This window comes from Homo sapiens, chromosome 20, assembly GCF_000001405.40.
Source record: "Homo sapiens chromosome 20, GRCh38.p14 Primary Assembly".
Lineage (NCBI taxonomy): Eukaryota > Metazoa > Chordata > Mammalia > Primates > Hominidae > Homo > Homo sapiens.
The window spans coordinates 17,384,515-17,412,045 of NC_000020.11; the positions used below are offsets into that span (position 1 = coordinate 17,384,515).

At 41.2% G+C, this 27,531-nt stretch overlaps 1 protein-coding gene across 3 annotated transcripts in view; it reads left to right on the forward strand.

Moving 5' to 3' along the window:
- PCSK2 (proprotein convertase subtilisin/kexin type 2) overlaps nt 1–27,531 on the forward strand; it is a 258,472-nt gene that overhangs the window by 158,408 nt on the left and 72,533 nt on the right. For all 3 annotated transcript variants that reach the window (NM_001201528.2, NM_002594.5, NM_001201529.3), the window contains one exon: nt 24,749–24,825. In NM_001201528.2, the coding sequence (NP_001188457.1) occupies nt 24,749–24,825 (77 nt within the window). The remainder of the gene's footprint in view (nt 1–24,748; nt 24,826–27,531) is intronic.

Here is a 27,531-nt window from a genome sequence, read left to right on the forward strand (position 1 = left end):
TTGCTTGAACCCAGGAGGTGGAGGTTGCAGTGAGCCAAGATAGTGCCATTGCACTCCAGCCTCCCCAACAAGAGTGAAACTCTGTCTCAATCAATCAATCAACAATTTGAGTCTTAAAAATTAAAATATTTTTCATAGGCTGAACACAGCGGCCCATCCCTATAATCCCAGCACTTTGGGAGACTAGGGTGGGAGTATTGCTTGAGCCAGGGGTTTGAGACCAGCCTGAGTAACATGGCAACACCCTGTCGCTACAAAAAAATTAAAAATTTGCTGGGAATGGTGGTGCATCTGTAGTCCCACCTACTCAGGAGGTTGAGACGGGAGGATCTATTGAGCCTAAGTCGAAGCTACGGTGAGCCACAATCACACCACTGCACTCCAGCCTGGGTGACAGAACGCAACCCTGACTCAAAAAAATAAGAAAAAGTATTTCTCTTAAATGCAAAGGCAAAGAGGACCTTTCTTTGTCTCTTCTGTACCTAACGTAAGGGTTGGCTAACTACACAGATTCTGGCCACCTGTTTTTGTAAATAAAGTTTTATCGGAACGCAGCCATGCTCACTTTTTTACTTGATATCTATGGTTGCCTGCATGCTCTAAGGGAAGGGTGGAGTAGTTGTGACAAAGTCCATATGGCCTGCAAAGCCTAAAATTTTTACTATTTGATCCTTTAAGAATAGGTCTGCTGAAATCCCCTGGTCTAATCAGTTGTGTGTCAAGATGTAGGAAAATGGTTTTGTTAGAAACTTAAGTCCAGAGAGCTTCAAAACAGGCTCCAGTGACAGCTGTAGCACCTTCTAGCAGTGTGACATCTGGAAAACTGCTGAATATCTTGGGGGCATAGCACCCTCATTTGAGAGCTGAGAAAATTGAACTCTTGTCTGTTGTAACTCTAAAATCTTATGAAACTCTCCTCCCTTCCAATAAAATCCCTGATTAAGAAACAAAAGCTGAATTAGTTTTGTTAAGGAAATGGAATCGTCAAGTAGTTTGAATCTAGTTAATTTGCTTTTGAGAATGACAGACATTAAGTCAAAGTGATGCTCCTTTTCCATGCATGATGCTGTATACACTAATCACTGGGGCTGAGTGATTTCAAAGAGTTTTGCATTCATTTACTGTCTTAGCTGGGATTCCTCCAAAAGCTGACTGTGAGACATGGATCCACAAACCAGCATTTTATTTGGAATTTGGTGCCAGGAAGCACAGGTAGGGGAGCAGGGGAGTGAAAAAGTGAAGGAAGTCAATACAGGGTGTGCACAAGTGTGTCCTACTGTGGGCAACAGGAGCTCAGTTCTGCTAAGCACCCCTAGAACATGAGTTAGAACACATGAAGGAGAAAGAGTACAAGTATGAACACACCAACTCTTATCCATCATTGGTTGATGATTAATATCAGGATGGAGAGAGGAACAATTTCCTATACTTCTAAGCTGCCATATCATTGGTGAATTTGACTCCAGAGATAAAGAGATAAAATGCTGACAGATGGAAGTTGTGTCAATGTGCACTGATATGCTCAAAGCAAGGAGTTATTATGGATGGGGCATCTAATAGCATCTAGGACACTTACAAAATCAGAGGTCTCCAATCACACATCCCTATTTGTAAAACAATTTTAACTAGGCTCTCCTAATACATGTATAGCTATTTATTCAGACAGTATATGTATGTACTACTATCAATGGGCTATGTACATTATAAAGCATATCCAAGAAAGAAAATTTTAAAGGATAAAATATAAATAAATATTAAAAGTTAAAATGCACACTCATGTTCATGGTAACATTATTCACAATAGCCAAGAAGTATAAGCAACCCAAATATCAATCAATCAATCGATGAATGGAGAAGCAAAATGTATTACATACATATAATGGAATATTATTCAGCCTTTTTATCACCTTAAGATCCTAAGGTCCTAAGATTATTTATTCAGAATTTCAGGAAGGAAATTCTGTTACTTGCAGCAACAGGGATGAACTTTGAGGACATTACACTAAATGAAATAAGCTAGTCATAAAAAGACAAATATTCTGATCCCACTTATATGAGGTATCTAGAGTAATCAAACTCATAGAGACAAAAGGTGGAAAGGTAGTTGCCAGGGTCTGGGTTGAGGGGGAAAATAGGGAGTTATTGTTTAATGGGTATAGAGTTTTAGTTTTGCAAGATGAAAAAGTTATGAAGATTGTTTGCATAGGTACTTAACATTACTGAACTGTACACTTAAAAATGGCTAAGATGATGAATTTTATGTTACATATTTTTTACCACTATTACAATGAATACATCGTTTTTTAAATCAAGGTAAAACAAGGCTTAAAAGATTTCCTCCCAACACTCCAATGGATCATCCAGCACATCCTCCCAAGTGAGCACAATCCACTTTTGAGACCTTTGCACTAAATACCTAGTCTGTAGCCCTGCCCTCAGTGTAATCAGCAAAAGATTCTGTATTAAAACATAAAATCCTCTGTCCAGCTAGATGTTAAGATCTCTGTCTTTAAGGGAGATAAAACAGAATAATAGGAATGGCACCAATAAGGATCATGCAGACAGGTAGATCTGGGTCCAATCCTGCCTCTATATTTAGTTACTGTGATTTGAAACAAGTTAATTAACCTCTCTGTTGTACACGTTGTACATTCCTGAGATATAAAAGAAGGATAGCAATATGCCTTCATGTTTTCATTCAACACCTAGTTATTGAGAGCTATGCTACACCAGAAACTGTAGTATATTAGTTACCTATTGCTGCATCTCAGATTACCCCCAAAACATGGCAGCATAAAACAAAATACATATATATATTTTGTTTCACACCGTTTTTATGAGTCAGAAATTTAAGAGCAGTTTGGCTGGGTGGCTCCGTGTTTCTCGTGAGGTTGCAGTCAGCATGTTGGCCATGACTGCAGTCAACTGAAGACTCAACCAGGGCTGGAGGATCGACTTCCAAGATGGTTCACATGGTGGCTGTTGGCAGGAGGCCTCAGTTCCTCCTTGCACGTAGCTCTCCACAAACTGCTTGAGCATCCTCATGACATGATAGCTGACTTCACCCAGAGCAAGCAATCTCAGAGAGGGACCAAAATGGAAGCTACAATATCTTTTACGATCTAGCCTCAGAAGTCACACACCACAATTTTGAAATGTCCTATTGGTTATATGGGTCAGCCTTGTTCATTGTAGGGGACTGTATACAAGGTCATGAATATCAGGAAGCAAGAATCCCTAGGATCCCAACTGGGAGGCGGGGACAAGTGGCTGAATAGAGCAGACATAGTTTCTACCCTCAAGGACCTTAGCAACTAGAGGGTAAAATAGACTCCAAAGAAATAACTACAGAAATAATTATGATCTAGGTGCTTTGCTACAGCGGAAGAGTACTCGGTGATATAAATGTGTTTAATATGGAGAACCAGATCTGGGCTGCCAGTTAAGGGAAGATTTCCCTAGAGTAGCTATCCCTATGCTGATACCTTAAGAATGAGGAGGAGTTAGCCAGGAATCTGGAAGCAGAAGGAACAGCTTGTGCAAAGACCCTGAGGCAGGAACATGCTCAGCCCTTTCAAGGATCTGAAGAAGGCCAGTGTGTGTGTGCTGGGGGAAAGAAGTATATCAGTACGGGAAGGAAAAATATGGCATGAGATGACATTGGAGAAGTAGAAAGAGAACCGACTGTATAAACTTTCTGAGCCATGAGGATTCATAACTTCATCCTAGGAGCAAAGGGAAGCTTCAGGGTGGCAGGGAGGGGGAATAACATGCCTAGATTTGGCATTTTTCAAAGATTTGCCTGCTAAAGAGACAGATTGGGAGTGAACAAGAAAGGAGGCAGGGAGAGCAGATGGGGGCTTTTCTAGGAGAAAGATTATTTGCCAAAGAGCTGTTATGGTTAAAAGGAAGATAGAGAGAGAGAAAGAATGTAGTTAAAGCACCCTGAACTTCAGAGGTGCTCCCTAAATAGTCTTTCTCTCTTCCTCTTAAAACAGAAACCTTCAGGGACACCTAACATAAGATGATATCTGCAAAACATATATCTCTAAAAAAAGCAGACAAAAACACAATCACTTAGCGCGGGCCTCATTAGGCACCTCATAAGTTCAGGCACTAGGGTCCTGAAGGAGTCTTGTGCACAGGAAATTCAGGAGGGGAGTCAGCAGTGAGCTTAAAGCCTCGCTCCACCACCAGCAGGAACCCGGACTGACCCACAGAGAGCGCTGAATAGCATTTATGATGCTTAATCAGAAAGCATGCAGCGTTGATCTGGAAATTAATTGGATGCTCGGATTTTTCGCACATCATGGAGAGTTAGATGTTACAAAGATTTTGACGGGAATATATTTAGTAACAGTATCACTGATGTTCAGTCTCAAGCAGGGGCCTGTATCTACTCTGGGGCTCATTATATTCTGAGTGACAACGGGTGCTTAGTAAATCTCCTTTGATTATGATGATCAACCAAGTCACTCAGAGTGTCTTTAATAGATAATGAGAAATTGTACCAGAGTTGGGGTTTTCTAAATATGAAATCAAACTGCAATTCTCATGACCCACTGTGCTTTTATTTATTTAATCATTTTTACTTAACTGATTCACTATTTTAATAGGTAGTTTTAAAAGTTAACTCTACATTACCGCCATAAATGGAAAATCTCACTTGCCATATAAATAAGACAATCATAAAAATAGATACCGTCTACCCCTAAAATCTGCCATGTACAGCTCAGGTTGGGCACAGCACACCCTGAGAACTGCTGGACCTGGATGTGCTTGTAGTCAAGGGTCTTGGAAGGAACAGCCGTGGTCATCAGTTCACACAGCCAGGATACAGGGGATATGCCCTTATGTGACATAGGGCATATATGATATAGAGTATATGTCCACACATTCCAATATCAATATAGGGAGAGAATGGTGGAGAGAGAAAGGGAGATCTCTCAAATTAACAACAATGAATATCGACTGAACCTGAAGAAACAGATGCTCTTTGGTTCATGGAAAGGGTGTGAACAGATGCTCAGGCCTGAACACTGCTCAGACTTTGCAGCTTCAGGGACCATCGGCTAAGAGACTTGTCTTCTGGACTTACTGCCTGGGGTAAGGACCAGGGCTCATTTATCTTATCTCTCTAATCTGGGGAGCTGTGAGGACTAGAATGGGTAAGGGTTCAGTGCAGGGTTTACAGCTGCTGAAAGGTCCCTGTAGCATTTCCTTTATGGAAAATCCTATGGATATACTTAAAGATAGGTATTTGTGAGGGTGAAACCTACCTACAACCTCTTACACTGCTAGTGCAAATGTCAAATGGTGCAATCCCTTTGGAAAAAGTTTGGCAGTTTCTTGTAATGTTAAACACACACTTAGCATACAACCAGCAATCCCACTCCTAAGTATGTACTCAAGAGAAACAAAAAGGTATGTTTATAAAATGGCATATACATAGCAGCTTTATATTTGCAAAACTTGGAAATAATTCCAATGCCCGTCAACAAGTGAATGGATAAATAAAACTGTGATGTGTTTATACAGTGGAATACTATCCCACAACAAAACAAACAAACTGCTGCTGCATACAGTACAATAGGCAAATCTCCAAATGTTGTTAGCTACCAACAAAGACAAATGCAAGAGTACATATACTCTCTGGTTCCATTTACATGAAGCTCTAAAGCCGGCAGAATTCAGATACAGCGATAGAGATCAGAACAGTGGTTGCCTAAGGTAGGTGAAGATTAACTGAGAAGGGCATCATATGGTGAGACAACTCCTCAAGGTGATGACAGTGTCCACTATCTTGATTGGCATGATGGTGACTCAGATTTACATACTGCTAAGATGCAGCATGCATGCTTAAGATCACATATGCTACTGTAAATTATACCTCAATTAAAAAACATGATTTAAAGCACAACCTATAAGCAAAAGAGCCAGTTTAGAAATCAGTTACCACCAAAAATGCCCTGTGAATGTGGGAAGAATGAGTGGAGAAGCCTGCCCATGTCTTGCCTCAGAATTTTCACTGCCCACCTGCTCACCTCCCTAGGTTGTCTCAGGCATAAACGAAGATGATAGATGTCAGGGCACTTGGAAACTCTCCAATCGCTGTACACTCTAAAAGGGGTCTAGTTTAATCATTTGTACTAATTTCTTAGAAATGCATCACTCTTTTTTCCTTATTTGCCTTTTTAATATAGAATCAAGGCTTGCTCATCATCAAAAAGATTCAAACATTACAGAAGTGTAGATAAAATAAAAACTGCAATTTCCCTTCTCTCTCCTCTCCTTTTCCTCCTCTATACAACCCACTCACTTTCCAATTTTGGTGACGTGGCAGTTCTGCATGGATCTTTCCAGATTTTTTTTCTCCCCCAACTGCAATCATACAGTACACCGTATCATGCAACCTGCTCTTTTATTTAACAACATATTCTCTCCAACAGTGTGGATATTCCGTCATTTGTTTAACCAAGCCCCTAATGATTGACATTTTGGGTTTCCCCTAAAGTTTTGCTGTTATAAACTACGAGACGAATGTGTTTCCTTGATCTTCTTCAAATCCTTGTGTGAATATCCCTTTAGAATAAGTTCTTAGAAGTGAAATTTCTGAGTCAAGTAGTACATGCAATATTAATTTTAATAAACCTTATCAAATTATTCTCTGAAAAGATTGAATCAATGCATAGTCCTCCCAGGAGAATCCCTTCTCATTTTGATCTCAAAGACAGGAAAAATAAAGTTGAGAGAATGCTGAAATATTCAAAGATTCTCCGATGCCCTTGAAAAGCAGAAGTGGAGCTGACATCAACATGGCCTTATTTTCGCTGCTGACTTGAAACTTCCATAATGAGGAAATAAAACACATGATTTAAAAAAAATAAAAAAACTCATCAATGAGATTAATGAGAGTTGAGAGCCTATGACTTGAACATTTGCTGGTTAATAGATGTAGGGATGGAAACAGTGTTGTGCCAATTACTGTAATTAACCAGAAATGAAGACAAATGGAAGGGAGCCTCTTCTGCCCACCAAGCTTCAACTTAAATGCTGAGTCATGAGCTACTAGTGGAGGCTGGAAGGCCAAGACCTGGGCTAGTGCTGGGAAAAGGAAGTAGCTCTTATTCTCCCAAATGTGTGCTGGGTGCTCAGAAACAGAGACAGTGGGACCCCATCTCTACAAAAATAAAAATTTAAACATTAGCTATGTATGGTGACATATGGGTGCCTGTAGTCCCAGCTACTCAGGAGACTGAGGTAAGAGGATTAGTTGAGTCCAGGAGATCAAGGCTGCAGTGAGCTATGATTACACCACTGCACTCCAGCCTGAGTGACAGAGTGATACCATGTGAAAGAAAGAAAAAAAGAAAGAGAGAGAGAAAGAGAGAGAGGAAGGAAGGAAGGAAGGAAGGAAGGAAGGAAGGAAGGAAGGGGAAGGGAAAGAAGGAAAGGAAGGAAGGGAAGGGAAGGAAGGAAAGGAAGGAAAGGAAGGAAAGGAAAGAGAAGCCATCCTGTCAAGGAGTCCCAAATATCCCCTGTCTCATGTAGCTCATCCTTCAGGAAATAGGACACTTTCCAACTAACACAGTTAGGCTATATCCCCCAAGGTATTATGTTTTTCCTTGAATGGAGTCAAACACTTTCTAAACTCGAGAGAATATGGCCCTGAAGGAAACTACGCCTGTTCCTGTGATGAAATGACCTGACAGGAAAGAACTCAGCATCTTGCTGACAAGTCAGGAAGAACTCACAACCTGCCCAGTGGTCATTTTAGTCAATTTTGGGGGGAAACAGTTCTTTTGAATAGGTCCCCTAAAAAAGGCTTGAAAGAAGAATTAGTACATTCCAAAGCAGTGATTAGAAATCATCATAATTTTCTACCAGGAGAAGAGCACTTTATTATTACTTAAAATTACTCTAGTCCAATAGCCAATTGCTATATTTTATGTTAACTTTTATTTACAGGAAGTACAATGTATTCCTTTTGGTGCACTGTTCCATGAGTTTTGACAAAAGTTCATACAGTCAAGAGGCAGAACATCCCCATCACCCAAAAAACTTTCCTCCTGCTGCCCCTTTTCCCACTCGCAGTCCTGGCAACCACAGATCTGCTTTTTATTCCTACAGTTTTGTCTCTTCTAGAATGTTATACAAATGGAATCATACAGTATACAGCCTTTGAGTCTGGCTTTTTCAAGCATTTATTCTTTATCAATGTGGTTGCATATATCAATAACATGTTCTTTTTTATTGTTGCGTAGCATTCCCTTGTGTGATGTACCACAATGTGTTTATCTGTTTTCCAGTCTGGGAACATTTGGATAACTTTCAGTTTGGACGATTATAAATAAAATCGTTATATACATCTACACACAGATTTTTGTATAGAATTTAGATGTCCTCTGTCTTGGGATTGAGGGGCTGTATGGTAAACCAACTGCTCTTTAATGTCTAGAAAATGTGACAGTCCTCAGAGTCATGGAGCCTAGAAAACAGTGCGGTTGTCCCTGGAGTTCAGAATGCTTTACTCTGTAAATATCATTCTTACTTGGATAGCCTTGGTCTGTGAGTAAATGTGCTATGATAGGCGTTGTGTAGCCGTTCATCCCAGCTCTGTCCCCAGAATCAGATAAGGACTCATGCTGTGAACTCTGATGCCTTCAGTCCAATGAGACCAGAACATCACTTGCCCGTTTTTATTTTAGGTCTCGTGTCAAGCTAAGCTAAGATACTTCATTCCTTTTTCTTTTCCCATCAAATTTTGTATCTTAAAAGTTTCAAAAAAATTTATAAGCAAGTATATCTCAAGATTTTTAACTGAATGAAATAAATTTAAATAAAATTCTGAGTATTTTTCCATTTGATTTTTTGGAAAATATATGCAGTTCCCAAATTTGAACAATAAATGTGCATTTATAATGTAAGATTATGCTCCCAGAAAGCTAAAAAAAAGTTAGAATTATCATAATTACATAATCCCTATTATACTTCAACTCTTAGACATAATTTTTAATCATTTATCTTCAAAAAGATGAATATTTTTAAATTTTTTTTCTTTTTTTTCAATCACTATTAAGCACAGTTGAGTTAAATCCAGTAAGCATTCTGTTGGGACTAAAGATTTTCTGTTCAAAGCACACCTAATGATTTCTCTCTTGTTTCAATTGTATTAAATTTATGAGACCTCTATTTTATCTCTAGTGTCAGTTTATTTCATTTCCATTTTCCACTTGTTTTCCTAAAATAACAACAAAATGCAATTAAAATGTGTAAATAATGCTGCTTACAACACCTCCATAGCTAAGTGTGGTATAAATAAAAGTGGTATGGCACTAGCACATTAAAAAAGGAGGCTTGAAATATCAACATTTAATGTAAAAAAAGTACAAGTACAGTAATGGAAAGCTGAATGTTTAAAGATTTGGAAACTCTTGGAAGCATGCTTGTGTTGCTCTACCGAATTCCAAAGGCAAACAGTTTTATTTTAATAATTTCGTTAGCTGGGCATGGTGACATGTGTCTGTAGTCCCAACAACTTGGGAGGTGGAGACAGGAGGATCGCTTGAGCCCAGGAATTTGAATCCAGCCTGGGCAACATAGCAAGACCCTGGATCTGTTTTCTGTACCTATAGTTTTCTCTATGATAATAACAAAATAATAATAATTTTGTTAATGTTCAGAGCATGAGTGAGCTCCACCTGACAACTCTTATAATGTCAAATGATACTGACGTCAACAAAACAACTTAGACAATTCTTGAAATTTGCTTATTTATCTGATACATTTGTTGAGAGTCTATTATGTGCAAGTGGTATCAAGTAAAAAACCCAGTGCATATCCTTGAACCACTTGGAGAGAACTGGAGGGGATGGAAAAGCGAGGGATATCTGTTCACAGCAGAGTGTCATGTGGGAAGAGGACATGTCCTTGAACCACTTGGAGCGAACCGTAGGGGATGGAAAAGTGAGGGACATCTATTCACTGCAGAGTGTCATGTGAGGAGAGGACAAGGAACAGGGAGGCACGGGGGTTGGATGAGCTCTCTTCCTGGTTCTTGAAAATGCCACGAATGTTGGTGGTAGCAGGAATGGCAAAGAGCACCATGAGTCAGGGACGTGTCATCTCCAAAAGGTCTAGGGCAGAGTATTTCCTTCCCAAGAAACCAGTGTCCCATAATTCACCTGCTGGAACCCCTGTGCACAAAGGGATTGTGTGATTAATGTAGATTTTGGTGTTTCATATTGTAGCAACTTAATAAGGTATGTGCCCAGCTTCTAAATGAAGGCTATAATCACTTTTCCATAGTTTATGAATTATGAAGTTGGATTCCCATCCCAAATGCTGTCCAAGTTTTTTGGCTTCAAAACCAATTAAAATGATGAATAGCTGTGAAAAGAACCAGAAGTGCATTTAATCTTTCTTCAGAACAGTTGGGGATCAGTTCTTTTTTGTCACATTTCACATTAGCTGGGAACATAAACTTGGTCTTGTTCAAAGGTTCAAACTACTTCTTCCTGAAAGAGAACCGATCTACTTAACTTTTTTTTTCCCCAGCTATTATAAACACTGAGATATTTACAAAGTGCCTTGTACTTCTTTCTGTTTATCTCCCAAGGTCACGACACTCTATTTGCATCTTCTCTTAGCAATGTTATCCTAAAAAGAATCATCAAAGCAAAGATTAACTGTTACAAGAAAAAACAAATAAGCGAGAAGATTACTTACAAATTTCGGGGGTTGGTTTATTATGGATGCAAAAATGAGTAGAAACTCAAGTCCCTGAGTCCACCTTTCATGACGGTAGTCCTGATTTTGCTATCATTTAATACAACTTAGGTCTTAATGTTCTCACTCAGTGCTGAGTGTGCTGGGATAAGCAAGGTGTTCACAGTCTTGTACATTTTTTTCTTTACTTTTTATCATAAAAATGAGCTGCAGATGTCATGCAGTGCAGAGAGAAGAGAATGCTTTCTGAGTCAGAAGGTCACATTTTTTGTACTCAACCACTTCTAGCTGGAAAACCTTGAGCAAATTACATAATCTCATGGAGACTCAGTTTTCTTACCTGTAGAATGGGGGTTATAATATTTAATTCTCAAAACTGCTGTGGGGCTCACACAAAATTAATTTGTGCTGAATTACACATATTTGTAATTTATACATAAAACTTATATGTATATGTATAATAGCAACAGACCCCTGATACAGTATTTATTATTCATATACCTGTCCTTTTGACAGAAGGAAAAAACATCATCTAAGATGTGTTTTAGACAAAGTTTCCAATCAATGATATTTGGACACAACAGCCCCTTCGATGAGGTGACTCAGCTATCAGTGAACTCATCTTTGCTATTTTTAGAGCTGAAAAAGGAGAAGCAGGTGATACTGAAGTTGTGTAATCAGTCTCAGGGGGAGGGCTATAAACTAGTGTCTCTGTCTCTCTCAGGACATCTGGACTCAAAGGTAGTGGCCTCAACCTCGCCAGCCATTCAAAGGCAAGCAGAACTCTCACAGAGGAGGCAAGGGCGGAGAAGCTTTGAGCATCTCTACAACATCAGAGAACACCCAGTCAAAAGAGAGGGAAACACAAATTGACTTGTACCTCATCACCTTGACAACACAAATTTAGACTCTGGCTGCTACATTATCTTCTGGTTCCTTTTCCGGAGCTGCTCTCCTTGAGCTGATTTACACGGTTGCTATTGTAGACCCTTGACTGTACACCCAGTCTTTGTGGAACTCCAAGAATCAGGCTTCAATTGTACTTTGAGCCAGCTACACTGGGCCCCTTCAACCCTCAGCCTTCTCTCCAGGCAAGTCCATAACTGCAGCTGTGGTAAGCCCATCTGCAGGCTGCCCTCTTCCTGTCCTGAGTCCCGGAGGGCATCCCTGTGTGATCACTGGCCTTAACCTCTCATTAAGCTATCAAAGCTACCTTCCACTGCTTTTCTTAAACCCACGTCTTTTCTATTTCCTTCAACTTCAAATTAGCCATTGTTTCCACATCATCCTCTCATGACATGATAGGGAATGAAGTGATGATGGCTCACAGCACTGCTGGGGCTGCTTTTACAAGAAGCTCACTCAAAGTCAACTTATTTTTTTTTTTTTTGAAACAGGGTCTCACTGTGTTGCCCAAGCTAGGATGATACAGTTGCACAATCATAGCTTGCTGCAGCCTCAACTCCCAGGTTCAAGAGATCCTCCCGCCTCAGCCTCCTGAGTAGCTGGGACTACAGGTGCGTACCACCATGCCTGGTTAATATTTTTTATACTTTTTGTAGACATGGAGTCTTGCCATGTTGCCCAGGCTGAGTCAAGGTCAGTTTTGTCACCATGGGGGGCATAGAGAGACCTCAGCAGTGAAGGCCTCTAGGAAATGGGAGAAATCCAACCAGGCTGGAACAAGGCTGGGAGAATCGGCCAGTTCTAGGGCAGTTGCCTAAGTAGAATGGGTCATGAATTCGAATCTGCTTCAAGCGATACTCAGGTCAAATTTGGACAATGAGGCCAAGCAAAGACTTGAGCACAGAATCAAAGCACACCTAGAGTTACCTATGTGCATCTCCGTTTTTGCTAAATCCAAATTACACCTTACTATACTGTTAACTTTTATTTGTCTATATCATTTGTTGGAATCCAGAAAACATACATTGTTTCTTTCCAGGAAAAAGTCAGGTATAAAAATAAGTGTGTGTTGAAATATAAGCACATTTTAAAAAGAAATTAGCTCCTATTCTCATTCCTGCAGCTTGGCATTGAGTTTGTCTGTAATTGGGTGTGTTTTAAAATTAAAAATTTGAAATAAACGTTAAGCAGCAGGAGTCAAAAATAATTCAGACCGTAATATTCATCAAAACTTGTTTAATAGCAGGAAACCCTCCACTCTGAACTTTTACTCTTCTTTCTTGCAGAATCAATCCCTCCAGCAGCCCTCAACTACCAGAAGCACAAAAATTCAATATATTTTTTTTTTTGAGATGGAGTCTCACTCTGTCGCCCAGGCTGGAGTGCAGTGGCATGATCTCGGCTCACTGCAACCTCCACCTCCTAGGTTCAAGCAATTCTCTGCTTCAGCCTCCCAAGTAGCTGAGATTACAGGTGCCCGCCACCATGCCCAGCTGATTTTTGTATTTTTAGTAGAGATGGGGTTTCACCATCTTGGCCAGGCTGGTCTTGAACTCCTGACCTCATGATCCACCTGCCTCGGCCTCCCAAAGTGCTGGGATTACAAGTGTGAGCCGCCGCCCCCGGCCAAATTCAATAATATTATGCTTAGTAGTCACACACTTTCTCTTGTTTTCTTTTGTTTTCTTTGGCTCATTAGACCTCTCCTTCAGAACCAAAGAAATCCATTGTGACAACTCTGTTCTCAGAGCTGACTTTTTCCATAGAGAGAACTTCAGTCTGAGACATGCCAAGGAGTTCTTGACGCTCCCAAAATTAACACCTTTCAATCTTTACTATTAGAGATTAACTTGTTTCAATGCCCATTCTCTTCTGTTAAAGCAGATAATATTGGGAAAGGCAATGTCTGAATGTATTTCTGCCAAGATGTCGATGGTTTATCAAAATCAATTTCTTCCTGTGGAAGAGTTTAGGTGCAAGGGGAGGAGAGAAAGTGAGAGAAGATTATAACAGGGAGGCTATGGATGCAGAAAGGAAAAGCGGGGAATCAAAGGCAAACCTGCCACCCATTTCACAAATAAAAGAATCAGTGTGGGCTGGATGCAGTGTCTCATGCCTGCAATCCCAATACTTTAGGAGGCCAAGGTGGGAGGGTCGCTTGAGGCCAGGAATTTGAGACCAGCCTGGGCAACACAGTGAAACTCTGTCTTTACAATTTTTTTTTAATTAGCCAGGCATGATGGCACACGCCTGTAGTTTCAGCTACTCTGGAGACTGAGGTGGGAAGATCACTTGAGCCCAGGAGTTGGAGGCTGCAGTGAGGGATGATTGTGCCACTGCATTCTAGCCTGGGTTACAGAGTGAGATCCTGTCTCAAAAAAAAAAAAAAAAAAAAAAATGCAGATTCAGTCAGTCTGGGCTGGGGCCTGAGATTCTGGATTTCTGACAAGTTCTCAGGTAATGTCAGTGCTGCTAGTACACAGATCACATTTTAAGCCACAAGAAGGCTAGGATATGAGGTATGAACAAAGGTGTTAGCTCAGTGGTTCTCAACCTGGACTATACATCAGAACCACCAAAAGAGGTTCTGTTGGGTTTGTTGGAGGTTTGTTTTTTTTTTTAAGCTCCTGATGCTCAAGCCCCACCCCAGATTAATTAAATCAGAATCTAGGAATTGCTCAAGTATTTGTATTTCTAAAAGCTCTCCAGGTGATTCTCTTGTGCAGCTTGAGTTAGGAACCACTGTTAGTTGATAACTGAAGGTGCTATTAAAAATTCCATAATATATGAGCTCATGAAGGCTAATGAGACACCCCAGCTAAGGGCATCTTCCTCTGCAACAGCAATTTGCTATTGTACAATGGGGGCAAACAGTTGGTGCTCAATAAATTTGTTCAATGAAAAAAAATAAGTGATTGGCTGAATGCATGAATGAATGGAAATGTTTGAAGTCAACAGTCTATGGAATGAAAAGGATTACAGTCCTATTATCAAAATGACAAGTGGCAGGATGGGTATTTTAAGACAGATCATCTTTTCCATCACTCTTTCAAATACCCCATAGAAGTACTTAAATCTTGGCCCACTTTTAAGCCTGACTTTGTTAATAACTGGAGGAGTCAAAGCCACAAATTTTCCACACCATTACTTTATTCCAGTGTTTGCCAAACCAACCAACAGTCACTATACACTTTTGCTACTGGTGTTATTATTTACCTAGTATGTTTCTTTAAATTGACTTACTTTTTAACATAAACAAATGTATTTTAAAGGGAAACTATAAATCACTATTTCAAATAGAAAAGCAACTAATATTCCATGACATCAGTAGAATTGACAGTCAAAATAAATGCAACGTAAGCAACTGAAGCAGGGTGTTTCTGCCTGCCAATGCTTGCCTCTGTCAGATAAGAAGAAGGATTAACAAGTATACGGAGGTGTTAAAGCCATGGGGGCACTTAGCAGAGACTTTGTCACTGGCATAATAAGGATTGCAGGAGCGTTTTGCAAGGAGCCACAGTCCTGCCGTGCGATGCCATGTTATTTAACATGAAAAGCAGGCACCACGTGTAAGCATCTCATGGCATTTTCAGTCAATGATTGTCAAGCTGTACTCAGAAACCCAGGGGCCACCAGGTAGTGTTGAAGAGGCTCTAGAAAAAAGAGGAAGTATTTCAGATTCTGAGGAATTCAGTCGTCAGTGTTATTTGTCTTATAGAGAGTATGATTTTTTTTTAAATCCTATTTCTATAAGGAACAACATAATCAACAGAGAACAAAGAAACAGGTTGAACCCTGCCATTGAAATCAGGAGAATTAACCTTCTCATTGGAGGCATATTTGCTGGTTTAGGCCTCAAAGGCATTACATCAACCTTGGATGAGACAATTTACTAAATAAAACCATGTTATTAAAAAAATGAATGGACCATACAAAATAATATATTTCATGTGCTCCCCTAGCTCTTTAGTGAAGTATGGCCCTCTGTGGGAGGTTAAATTATTAGCTAAATGTATATACTTGGATTTAAACAGAATGATCCACTGATGTTCTAGGAAGTAAATGCACTAACTTATTCTTTTTTATTTGCCAGGTATTTGCTTTTCTTTTAAATAATGCATGCAGTAGAATATGATTAATATAATTCTGATGCAGAAAAGCAAGATTGCACACTTAGGAGAGAGGTCTCTGGAGCCAGACTGCCTGGTCTAAATCCCTGCTCTGCCCTTCATCATCTGTGTGACCTTGGGCAAAGTATTCAACCTCTCTGTGCCTACACTGCCCTGCTTATAGGATGAGGATGACAATAAGGGTATTACCCACATAAGGACATCATAAGGATGAGTAATGCATACAAAATATCTAAGAGTCCCCTATACAAAATACGCACTCCATATGTGCTACCTGATATCATTACAGTAAAAAAAAATTACACAAAATGTAATTTTTACTAATTTTAATTACAAAATGTAATTAAAACTAAGTCTTCCTTCCACCCTAGACCCCACGCCTCTCCCCAGGCAAAGTACTGTAAAAAGACCCTTGTGCTTCTTCTCAGAACTACTCTATACTTACCATCAAGTCCATCCCTCTCTTCTGTGCAAATGGGAGCCCACTATCCACTCTATTCTACATATTGCCTTTTTTGCTTAACAACATTTCTTGGGAATGAGTTCATTGCTAGTTTCATACCTCATTCTTTGCCAGAGCTGCAGAGTTTTGCATCATATGGGTGCACCAGAATTTCTTTAACTCATCCCCAGTGTTGGAGATTTAGGTTGTTTCTAATATTTCACTATTACAGTCACTGCCAGAATGAATATATTTAAATATACATCTTTCATTCATATGGAAGAATATCTTTAGGGTAGAGTCTTAGAGGTGGAATTGCTGGGTCAAACAGTCCATTCATGTTTATTTTGATAGATATTGCCAAATTTCTCTTCAAAGAGATTGTGCCAACTTCCATACCAACCAACCACATACAGAAGCACCTGTGTCCCCTCATTCTCAAAATAATATTTTAAATACATTAACAAGATATACAAGGTAATCAAGTTTTTTAGTCTGTTTGAGCTGATATAACAAAATATCTTAGACTGAGTAATTTATAAGCAACAGAAATCTATTGGCTACAGTTCTGGAGACCAGAATTCCAAGACCAAGGTGCCAGCAGATGTGGTGTCTGGTGAAGGCCTGTTCCTCATACACAAGGACTTCCTGCCACATCTTCACATAGTGGAAATGTTAAACAGGCTCCCTCAGGCCTCTTTTATAAGGGCACTAATCCCGTTCATGAGGGCTCCACCCTCATGACCTAATTACCTCCCAAGGACCCCACCTCTTAATACAAACACACAGGGGGTTATATGTCAACATATGAATTTTGGAGGGACACCAACATTCAGACTATGGCACCAAGGAATGCTATTATATGGAAGCAGTTATCAAAAGATTGAAATTACACATCTGTGAAATGCTAACATATGTCCTTTATTAATGCATCAAATAACAAAATCTAGTGGCAGGTAGGGGTGTGCTGAAAAGATACTTTTTAGCATACCGGCAACAACCCTAATGTGGAATGAAGATACATGTTGATGATATGCTCACAGGTACTGCTAATAATACTGTTGTTTGTACTTCCCATTCGTAATTGAAGGAAATGCTTGATTTGAGGTGGTGGCTAGTGCAAATAACAATGTAAATTTTTCCACCCAAGTTTTAGAGCCTATCTTGGAGCCAGCTCTTAGAGCCTCATTCCAATGAATGGCAGCTTATTTTTAATACATCAGGTCAGCTCCAGGAATGTACGCTTTTAGGGAAGCTCTTAAAATTCATGTGTGGGAATCAGCCTCCATCTAGCCTAATACATGCTTCACTGGCCTTCTAAAATAGCAAGCCGAGCAAGAAGACATAGACAGGCAAAGGCCACTCTAAAGATACCCTCCGGAGGTGTCTGCCTCGGCTGTTACTTAGAGCAACTGTTTGCTCCTTCCTGCAATACAGCTGCACTCCTCCACCACAGGGTTTTGGAAAATATCAATTAAATAATATATTTTAAACAACTTTGAAAAAGATAAAGGCATCTTTTTAATTTGGGGCACCCTATTAGCCATTAAGAATTAATGTTATTATCTCCTCATCTGTTTAGTGTTTAGAACCTCTCCCAAGTCTGCTGATAATGGTGGCAATGAGGGCCAAAGGATGGAGCTGCTTAGCTCTGGTAAATACTGGCCAGGCACAGAGGCTCATGCCTGTAATCCCAGCACTTTGGGAGGCTGAGGCAGGCAGATCACTTGACGTCTGGAGTTCGAGACCAGCCTGGCCTGGCCAACATGGCAAAACCCCGTCTCTACTAAAAATTAGCCAGGCATGGTGGCACACCTGTAATCCCAGCTACTCAGGAGGCTGAGGCAGGAGAATCACTTGAACCCTAGGGACAGAGGTTGCAGTGAGCTGAGATTATGCCCCCGCACTCAAGCCTGGGCAACAGAGCAAGACTCTGTCTCAAAAAAAAAAAAAAAAAGGCATGGTGGCTCATGCCTGTAATCCCAGCACTTTGGGAGGCCAAGGCGGGTGGATCACGAGGTTAGGAGATCAAGACCATCCTGGCTAATATAGTGAACCCCGTCTCTACTAAAAGTACAAAAACAAAATTAGCCAGGCGTGGTGGTGGGCTCCTGTAGTCCCAGCTACTCGGGAGGCTGAGGCGGGAGAATGGCATGAACCTGGGAGGCGGAGCTTGCAGTGAGCCAAGATCACGCCACTGCACTCCAGCCTGGGCGACAGAGCGAGACTCCGTCTCAAAAAAAAAAAGAAAAGAAAAGAAGAAAAGAAAACATAAAATGTCCAGCCACCCAGGACACAACTGTGTGGCCTGACCGTTCAGTTGTATCACTCCTCTTATCTGGAAAGTGCTCCAGTGACTACAGAAGTTGCTAGAATTTCCAAAAGCAAGAAGAAAGTGATGGGAAAATGTGTCAAATCCACAATGGGAGAACACTGTGTCACTAGAAAATTATATGACCCTGGCAACCTTAGGAGTATGGAAGAAAGATTTCAAACAAGTTTCTGACTATGTATCTTTTTCTAAATTTTTTTGAATGCTGAAGAAATGTTAAATTTCATTAAGTTTTACAGCCAGATTTAATATAGACATAAATCCCTTTAATGTTCGTTTCAGTCAAAAGTGAGCGGAACATTATCGTTAAACCAGTGCATGTGGGAGAATTACTTGAGGAAAATCAAAATAGGCACAGTTGGGAACATTAAGCCGTGGCCATATTAGACGCAAGTAGGCGCAATAGCAAAATTCTTTAGGCTCTAATGGACTGGGCTATTTTGCTTCTCAGTTTCCATACAGATGAGCTTTGTTCTGGGGCAATATGGTTGCAGTTTGAGAGTCTATCTGAAGGAGCTCATTTCTCTTTCATTAGTCCATGAGCACAGTGCAATTTCAGCTAATACTGTTACACAGCTCCTAGCTGGGTTATTTGGTTAAATGCCTTCAGGGAAAGTAGCAAGACAGAATAAAAGGACAAATGCAATGCGGTTTCTTGTTCTGAGTTCCTGTAGCTGTGGAATTACATTGGCAGTTAATCATTACCACGTTGTACTCGTGATCATAAACTCCTGTTATTTAAGATGTTATTCAAGTCTCACAAGAAACATCTTGTCTTCTGTGGCACAATTTCCTTGAGGTCGGGTTTGTGCACAACTATAACCATAGAGACCTGTTTCTTGTGCTTCGTGGACATGCTAGTAGGTATATAGTGCCATTTGTGTGAAATTGAAAATGACATTCCCTACTGGTGGGTGAACTGGGAAACAGCACCCTGTCTATGGGCAAATTAGAAAAGATGTCCCCTTCTGGGTGGACAAATGAGCAAAAGGCAGCCCCTCTGGGCTGACCAATTCTTTTTTAAAGCCTCCTCCACCTTGGGGTGTGGGGGTGGTGCACATGGCTTGGTAAGTCCAATGCAGACCCTAGTTGCTCCCTGTGGGCAGGAACCCCTGGCGCAATGCACAACCTGCACAACTGTACACAACAGCCCTGATTACAGAATCCATTTTCACAATTTTGTAGTTGGACCACAGAGTTTGCCCCTCAGTACTCTAAAAATATCTGTTCAATCACATCAGTGGATGTCCATATTAAATACATTGGTCTTCTTTCTTATGGCAAGTAACTGCCACTCTCTGCCAAGGGCAGTGTTCTAACCTTGGAAACAAACAGGACACTCGTAGGTTGAGAAACAGAAGAACTAGAGGACGGTGACTCCTAGGGGCTTGACCAGTGGTGGGCAGTGGAGTGGTGGAAACCACGGTGGCACCTCTTCACCATCGCAATGTAATGCTCTCCTCAGCCTCCATCATTACCTGGTGAGCTGGGGCTCAGTATCTGCCTGATAACCCACCTTCAGCTAGCATGAGACACAGGAGGAGCAAGCTTCAAACTCCCAACAAGGTAGTCAGCCTAGTTCATACCAGATTCAGTGGCTGTAGCCCAGGAGAGAACGAGGTATGGGGCACGTATGTCTCAGAGCAGAGAGATCTGCCTAGAAAGACAAAGACTGAGTGAGAAGCTATAGTGTGGGCTATCAGAGGGCAGCCTGGGAGCCCAAGAGGCCTCGGACATTGGTCAGGGATTGGCAAACTCTTTCCGATAAAAGGCCACTTTGTAAATACTTTAGGCTTTGTGGGGTTTTGTCACAACGACTTATCTCTGCTGTTAGAGTGCAAAAGCAGCGACTGGCAATTCATAAACAAATGGATGTGGCTGTGTTCCGATACAACTTTACTTACAAAAACAGGCCATGGGCTGATTTAGCTGGTGGGCCATATTTTGTGACCTTTGCTGTCGGTGATCAAAGAAAGAGGACACAACAGGAGAAGTCAGGTGAGGCATTGCCCATACTGCGTGGGGCAACGTGCTTGCCAGCTTACATTCCTTGTTTCATTTTATCCTCACAGCAACCAACTAGTAACAGTTTTACCACCTACATTTTGAAGATGAGGAAACTACAGTTTCTAAAAAATAGGAAAATTTCCAGGGTCAAAAACAGCCTCATTTCAAAACCAAGTCTGTTTGACTTGAATGTCTCTCTTCCTTCCCCTACATCAAGCTGGTACCTGCAGACGTATTTGTCTAGGGCAGCCCAGCCAGGGAAGCCCATTGATCACAGAGGCATTAAATTCCAGATTTGAAGGTATGGATGGCAGTGCCAGGGCCAGGTGCAATCTCAGGAGCCTCAGAAGCTTCTCTGTGGATGTAAAAGCAATGGGCACAGCCACCATTGACTGCAGGAGCTCTCACCTCTCTCATCACCAGCCATTCAGATAGACAAGCCCCAAATCCGAAAGGTGTCATCTGTGGGCCTGCGTCTTTGATAGCCAGGCAATTACAGCACCTCATATATAAAAAGCCAGAGGAATCTGTGAATATAATAAGTGACTGTCCTTTCTTAGCGTGGTGCAGGCCATCTGTTTGAAAAGTACACACTGCAAACAATGCCAAGTTGTAATTATTAAACTTTCTAGCTAAGAGCGAGTCTCATCTTTCTTCCTAATTATGCATTCAAATATTCAGAAATTAAGCCTTAGAATTATTATATACCAGGGATGGGTTTTTTTCCCCTGTGCATTAAACTTTTAGAAGAGAACATGAGCCATCATCAGAAGTTTCTCCCAGAAATAACTCCCAGAGAAGCCCTGAGGTCAGCTTGGAATCAACCCAACCTTCTCACTTTCGGTGTGATGGTACAATGATAATTCAAGTTCTTAATGATGACTCTGAATCATCTCGATCCTGAATCATCAGAGATTAAATTATTTTCACCAAACAGCTAGTATTTTCTAAAGCAGGAAAATCGATTAAAGGATTTCAGTAAAAAGTTAGAGAAGTCCAAACAAAGCAAGCATCTGGCAAGCCTCGGTGACCAGAACATTAAATTCACCAAACACCACCTGCTCCAAATGTCCATGTTAATGGCAATTATAGAAGACTCCAGTAGCATTCAAGGCCAGTTTAACTTATTCCTGTACACAAATAACTTTATGGGAGACAGCATTGTAATTCAAATCAATAAATGACTCGGTTTGGCTGTACAAGCATAAACAGAACGCTTGCAAAATATGGTTCCTCCTTGCTAGAAACCATTTGATTTTTAGCCAGAAAACATACAGCCAAACAAGAATAACAACTGTTTGCCTTCCTTAATGTTCAGTGTAGACTGTTACCCAAGGAATTAAGCATTAGTCATCAAAACTTCATTGCAAAGGCAACAAAATAATTGGGGTTCCTGAGTTATCATCCATTTCAACATTCAGAGGCCAATTTGACCCCAGACAATACAAGGTCTTTCTTCTTGTTATAAAAGTGGTTGCAGAGTTCTGAGGGTTCTCTGCTGTAAGCTCTGCTCTCAGAACTCTCCAGGTCCTGCTTCCAACCCCTGCCATGTCCGGCCAAACTATTTTCCCAGAGTCAGGAGCAGAGCCAACAGCCTCACTCAGACAGACCCCAGTGATAATTATCAGCCCAAAAGATAAGCCCAAGTGGAAAGTTTGAGAAGCCAGTCACTCAGGCAGCAGCTACAAAGGGACAAACACTCTCTAGTTTTCCCTCACTGACTTCATTTCCCTCTGCCAGCCTGGTAGAAACATGGTCTCAGTCCGCTCAGGTTTTGCCCCTGTCCTCCCTGTCTCCAGAAGCGCCCTCAAGCTTCAAAAGATTCATACAGCCTTCCAGAGAGGGAGACGGGGACCTAGTGCTGGTTTTCATCATCTGTCCACTCTGGCTTCTGCAGTAACACCATTCCCATTGGCCTCGGTGGTCAGTTCACCCAGATCCTGCCTAAACCCTGGATGCTTATTGTCCTGACCACCCGAATGTCCTAGGCCAGCTAGTTCTCAGCGTCACATCCTCACCAACCTCCGCTCCCTGCTCTCCACTGGGGATCAAGGGAATGCAGGATGGAGCTGCCCCAAGCCTGTAGCTCAGATGCCTCACAGGGGCATTTCTGATCTGCAACACTATGTCCCTGTTGTGAGCTGAGTCCCAGGCCTCTCTGAGGTTGGACATCCCAGCGTGCCTCTTCCCACTCCAACAGCACACCTCAGAAGGAAGAGGCAGCCTCAGGGGCCCGCTGAGTGGCCACTCGTGCTGGATTTCCACCCACCTCACCTTAGGGAATTTTAATTTTTTCTAAAGAGAAACAAACCAGATTGGGCAGATACTCTTCCAAATCTACTGCTTAAGTTTCAATCTCAGCTTTGAAGCCCAGAAAAAAAAGTATTAACTTGTGTTTCTCTCGATATTCCTACCCCACTAACTATACCTAAGAATGCTGTTATCTCTGAAAAATTCAGAGGTTAGGAGAACAGAACACCCTTGGGGAAGACAAGTTACTATTTCAAAATAGTATCTCTGAAAAAAACAGAAATCCAAATATCGCATGGGAAGTCAGTGGGAGAAAGGCCAAATCTGAGAGGGTCTCCCAGGAACACGGATTGCGGGCCAGATACAGAATTAAACTTTTAAAGTGAATGAAAGCAATCTGGGGTCTAAGTGGGGAAGGAGTCGAAAAACTGGCAACTTGCCAGTAGTTATGGTCAGTGGAGACGAGAAGACTTCCTCCTCTCTGAAAGCCAAGTGTTGAATGAAGACCTAGATCCTGGAATAAAGGATCAACATGCTTAAGACTCCAGGCAAATTACTGGGCCAAATTTCAGGGTGACTCCTGCCCAAGTACAGCATTTATTTAAATAAATTAGCATTACAACTCTGATTATTACAACTACTGGTGATTTTGTCACCTAAACAATAAAACAAAAATTAATGGAATTAGTGGAGTTGCTCTTAAAAACATTATGCCACCACATTAGGCTTACAAACTCAAGTGTGTCACAAAACTTGTGTGTTATCTTATGATAAAGCACAGTTCCTAAATATGTCTCAGGACCCATAACATCAAGAAATGCCAAAGCTGGAATGTGCCTCTAACCCAGTGTTTCCTGGCCCAGTGTATACTGTGAACCAAGAAGCCATCTGGGGTCTTCATTTCAGACCCCCAAAACAAAGGAGAGGAGAATGAGATGAGGAAAAAGGAACTTGAGAGAGAGCAGCTTCTCCAAGCAAGCAGAGAAGGGAATGGGGAAGGAATGGGTTATTCACTAAACAATGGTGGATCATCTCCCATTACAGACCAGAATAAAAGGCAAACCAACTAAAGACCTAAATGTTAAAGAAAAAAAAAACCCACAAAATTGCTTAGACAGTTTTAGTGGCTACATAATTATTTTATGTGGGGAAAGATTCTCAGTGGGAAAAAGGAAGGTGCTGGATGACAGAGAATAGTACACTTTTGACCATATGCTGTAGGGCATAAGAGTTCATACAGATACTTATTGAAGTTTGTAATGGTACATTTCTTTGTTTGATCTTTCGATTGATGTCTGTTCCCGCAACTAGGCTATAAGTTACATAAGGGCAGGGATGCCACCATTGTATTCCCGTACTTAGCAAAGTCTCTGACATATATTGGACTCTTAATGATATTTGTTGAGTGAATAAATAAGGTCAATTGTGGACAACGTCAGGGCCTTGGGCATGGGGTTTAAAACCCATAAGGGGAAAGGAAACCAGCCTATGCTAGTCTGAAGGAAGAAGCTGGTTGTGAGCTTTCTGTGTAAAGCAAGGAAACTCTAGAGGCCATCTCACTTGTGATGTGAGAACTAGAACATCTGGCCATCTGTCCAAGGAAGGATTAAGGAAGCTTACCCTACATCTTGGGTTCCAGGTGAAATCCATTAACCACAAGGGCTACATCAACTTGAAAGGAAGACAGTCCTGGAGAACACAGGGCTTACATTTGCTAACCCCTTGAAGGCTTGAAATAGGATGAAATGGGGAAGCCTGAAAGAGAATATCAAGAGAGGATGGAAAACCCCAAAGACATGCTTTGGCTCCAACACAATTTTGTGAGGTTTGGTCCAGTGCAGCACACTAATCCAGCACTCCAGGGAGGACTAGAAATGTTTAAAGTCTCCCAGCGCTTTCCCTTTACTGCGCCTCTGGCTGTACGGACCTAATGAGATGCCTTGTGTTTTTCAGAATGCCGAAGCAAGTTACGACTTCAGCAGCAACGACCCCTATCCTTACCCTCGGTACACAGATGACTGGTTTAACAGGTAAACTGGGCCTTGGGAGGTCTCTTTGACTTTAGGCTTTGGGGTTTTATTCTACTTTGTTTTGTTTCAGGCTTGACTACCACCAGCAAAATAATCCCCATGCTTCATTAAATTATATTGTGATTTTTCTTCTTAGTGGTTACATTCTCTAAAGTGAAATTTTTAATATTACAATCTTCCTCTAGAATAATCTTTTGACTGTTTTGTTCTGCTAACTTGAAATTATTTGCTACTTTAATCCATTAAAGAGAAAAGAAAATAGAAATAAGAAGTTCTTTCTCAACCCATTACAAGGTGATTTAAAACATGCTGATTTTGCTTTATGTGTTGAAACTGTCGTAGAGAAGTATTTTGCCCCATGGGTCTATGTGTTTTTGAAAAGCATTCTGTACGCTTTCTGCTATAACCCCATAACAGCTCATGGAGTCCCTTTCAACAAAACAGTAAGTGTGATTGGCAGAGGTTTGAAGTATTGCTTGGGACAAAGATCCTATGATGTCAAACTACCCAAACAGTCCATCCAAGAGAATAATTTTCCTTCAGCTTGTTTTGCCACTAAACATGGAAATGTGGTCTCTTTTTTCTTCAAGTAAACATTTTTCTTAAATGGTTAATTACATATAAGAGATATGAAGAAATAAAGATGTGCGGTTTGCTCAATGAAAGAATACTGTAATTTTTAAACCTAGTGTTTCCCTGTTATTGACGTCCTTGGGTGAAGTTCATAAAAACATATGAACTTCAATTAGTTGTATAAAAATATATGATGTGCAGAGCACTTTATCCATTTTTTTTTTTATTTCTCATGGCACTCTAAGTAGCACATAAAACAAATGTTGTCATTTTTAGTTTAGTGATAAGGAAACAGGCTCAGAAGGGTTGAAGGGCTTCCTTGGTCAAACAGTTAAAATTCAAGTCAAAGCCAAGATTAGCCCCATGCTTCAAATTATTTCCAAATCCACATTTGTACTATTCTTTGCTGAGTATCATTTCTATTATTTGATACAGGCAGCATGATGACCAGAATATGTTCAAGGGTAGAGCCTCAGTGGACAGGAAGCTTAGATTCTGTCTCTAAAGTTAGCAAGTTGACCTGAGACCCCTCAGTCTCATCAAGGGTTGACACAGGGTACACAGGTTCTGAGTACAAATGCAGAAAATAAGAAAAAAGAAAATGAAATTTAATTTTGTAATATTTTGTAAAGATCATTGCTGATGTCGGATAGCACAATTCATTCTCTATCCACATCACCTGCAACCTGAAAATGACATACAATGCTTGGAGGTGTGTGTTTAGAGGATGAGAATGTATAAAAAAGGTCTGAAAACTTTTGGCATGAAGTGTGTTTTATCTCTGTGACTTCTAACCCTAGATGGTAGCATATATTTAGCAAATAAACCATTTCAGACACAAGAATGTGAAGTTACCAAATGTGTGCCATTAAGCTGGGGTTTAGACAGAATTGGCAGTGGCCATCCAGGGCACAGTGCTGAGAAGGGCCATGAGAGGGTCTGGCTTCAGCAGGATTGATTACCAGCTCTCCGCATGAATATCAGAAAGTGCAGTGGCAACATATCCACTGGCTACTTGCTGTCTTTCTGTAACTAGTAGGTACTAAATTAGTCTTTGATGGATTGATGTAAGCACAAAAATATAACCAATGGAAAGATTATCCCCCAATCTCATTTTCTGAACCCAAACAAAATCTACCCTAGTCAAATCTTCCTGGGCAATGTGCTATAAAAATACTCCTTAAAAAAACTAAAAGGTTCCACTCCAAGATGGCCAAATAGGAACAGCTCTGGTCTGCAGCTCCCAGCATGATCGACGCAGAAGATGGGCAATTTCTGCATTTCCAACTGAGGTATCTGGTTCATCTCATTGGGACTAGTTGGACAGTGGGTGCAAGGGGTCGGAGGATTTCCCTTTCCTAGCCAAAGGAAGCCGTGACAGACTGTACCTGGAAAAATGGGACACTTCTGCCCAAATACTGTGCTTTTCCCATGGTCTTAGCAAACAGCAGACCAGGAGATTCTCTCCCATGTCTGGGTTGGCAGGTCCCACGCCCATGGAGCTTTGCTCACTGCTAGTGCAGCAGTCTGAGATTGATCTGCAAGGCAGCAGCCTGATGGAGGGAGGCTGAGACTTGAGTAGGTAAAAAAAAGCGGCCAGGAAGCTCAGACTGGGCAGAGCCCACCACAGCTCAGCAAGGTCTACTGCCTCTATAGACTCCACCTCTGTGGGCAGGGCATAGCTGGAAAAAAGGAGCAGAAGCTTCTGCAGACTTAAACGCCCCTGTCTGACAGATCTGAAGAGGGCAGTGGTTCTCCCAGCATGGCATTTGAGCTCTGAGAATGGACAGACTGCCTCCTCAAGTGGGTCCCTTACCCCCATGTAGCCTAACTAGGAGACACCTCCCAGTAGGGGCCAACAGACAGCTCACAAAGGTGGGTGCCCCTCTAGGACAAAGCTTCAAGAGGAAAGATCAGGCAGCAATATTTGCTGTTCTGCAATATTTGCTGTTCTGCAGCCTCTGCTGGTGATACCCAGGCAAACAGGGTCTGGAGTGGGCCTCCAACAGCCTGCAGCTGAGGGACCTGACTGTTAGAAGGAAAACTAACAAACAGAAAGGAATAGCATCAACATCAACAAAAAGGACATCCACACGAAAACCCCATTTGTAGATCACCAACATCAAAGACCAA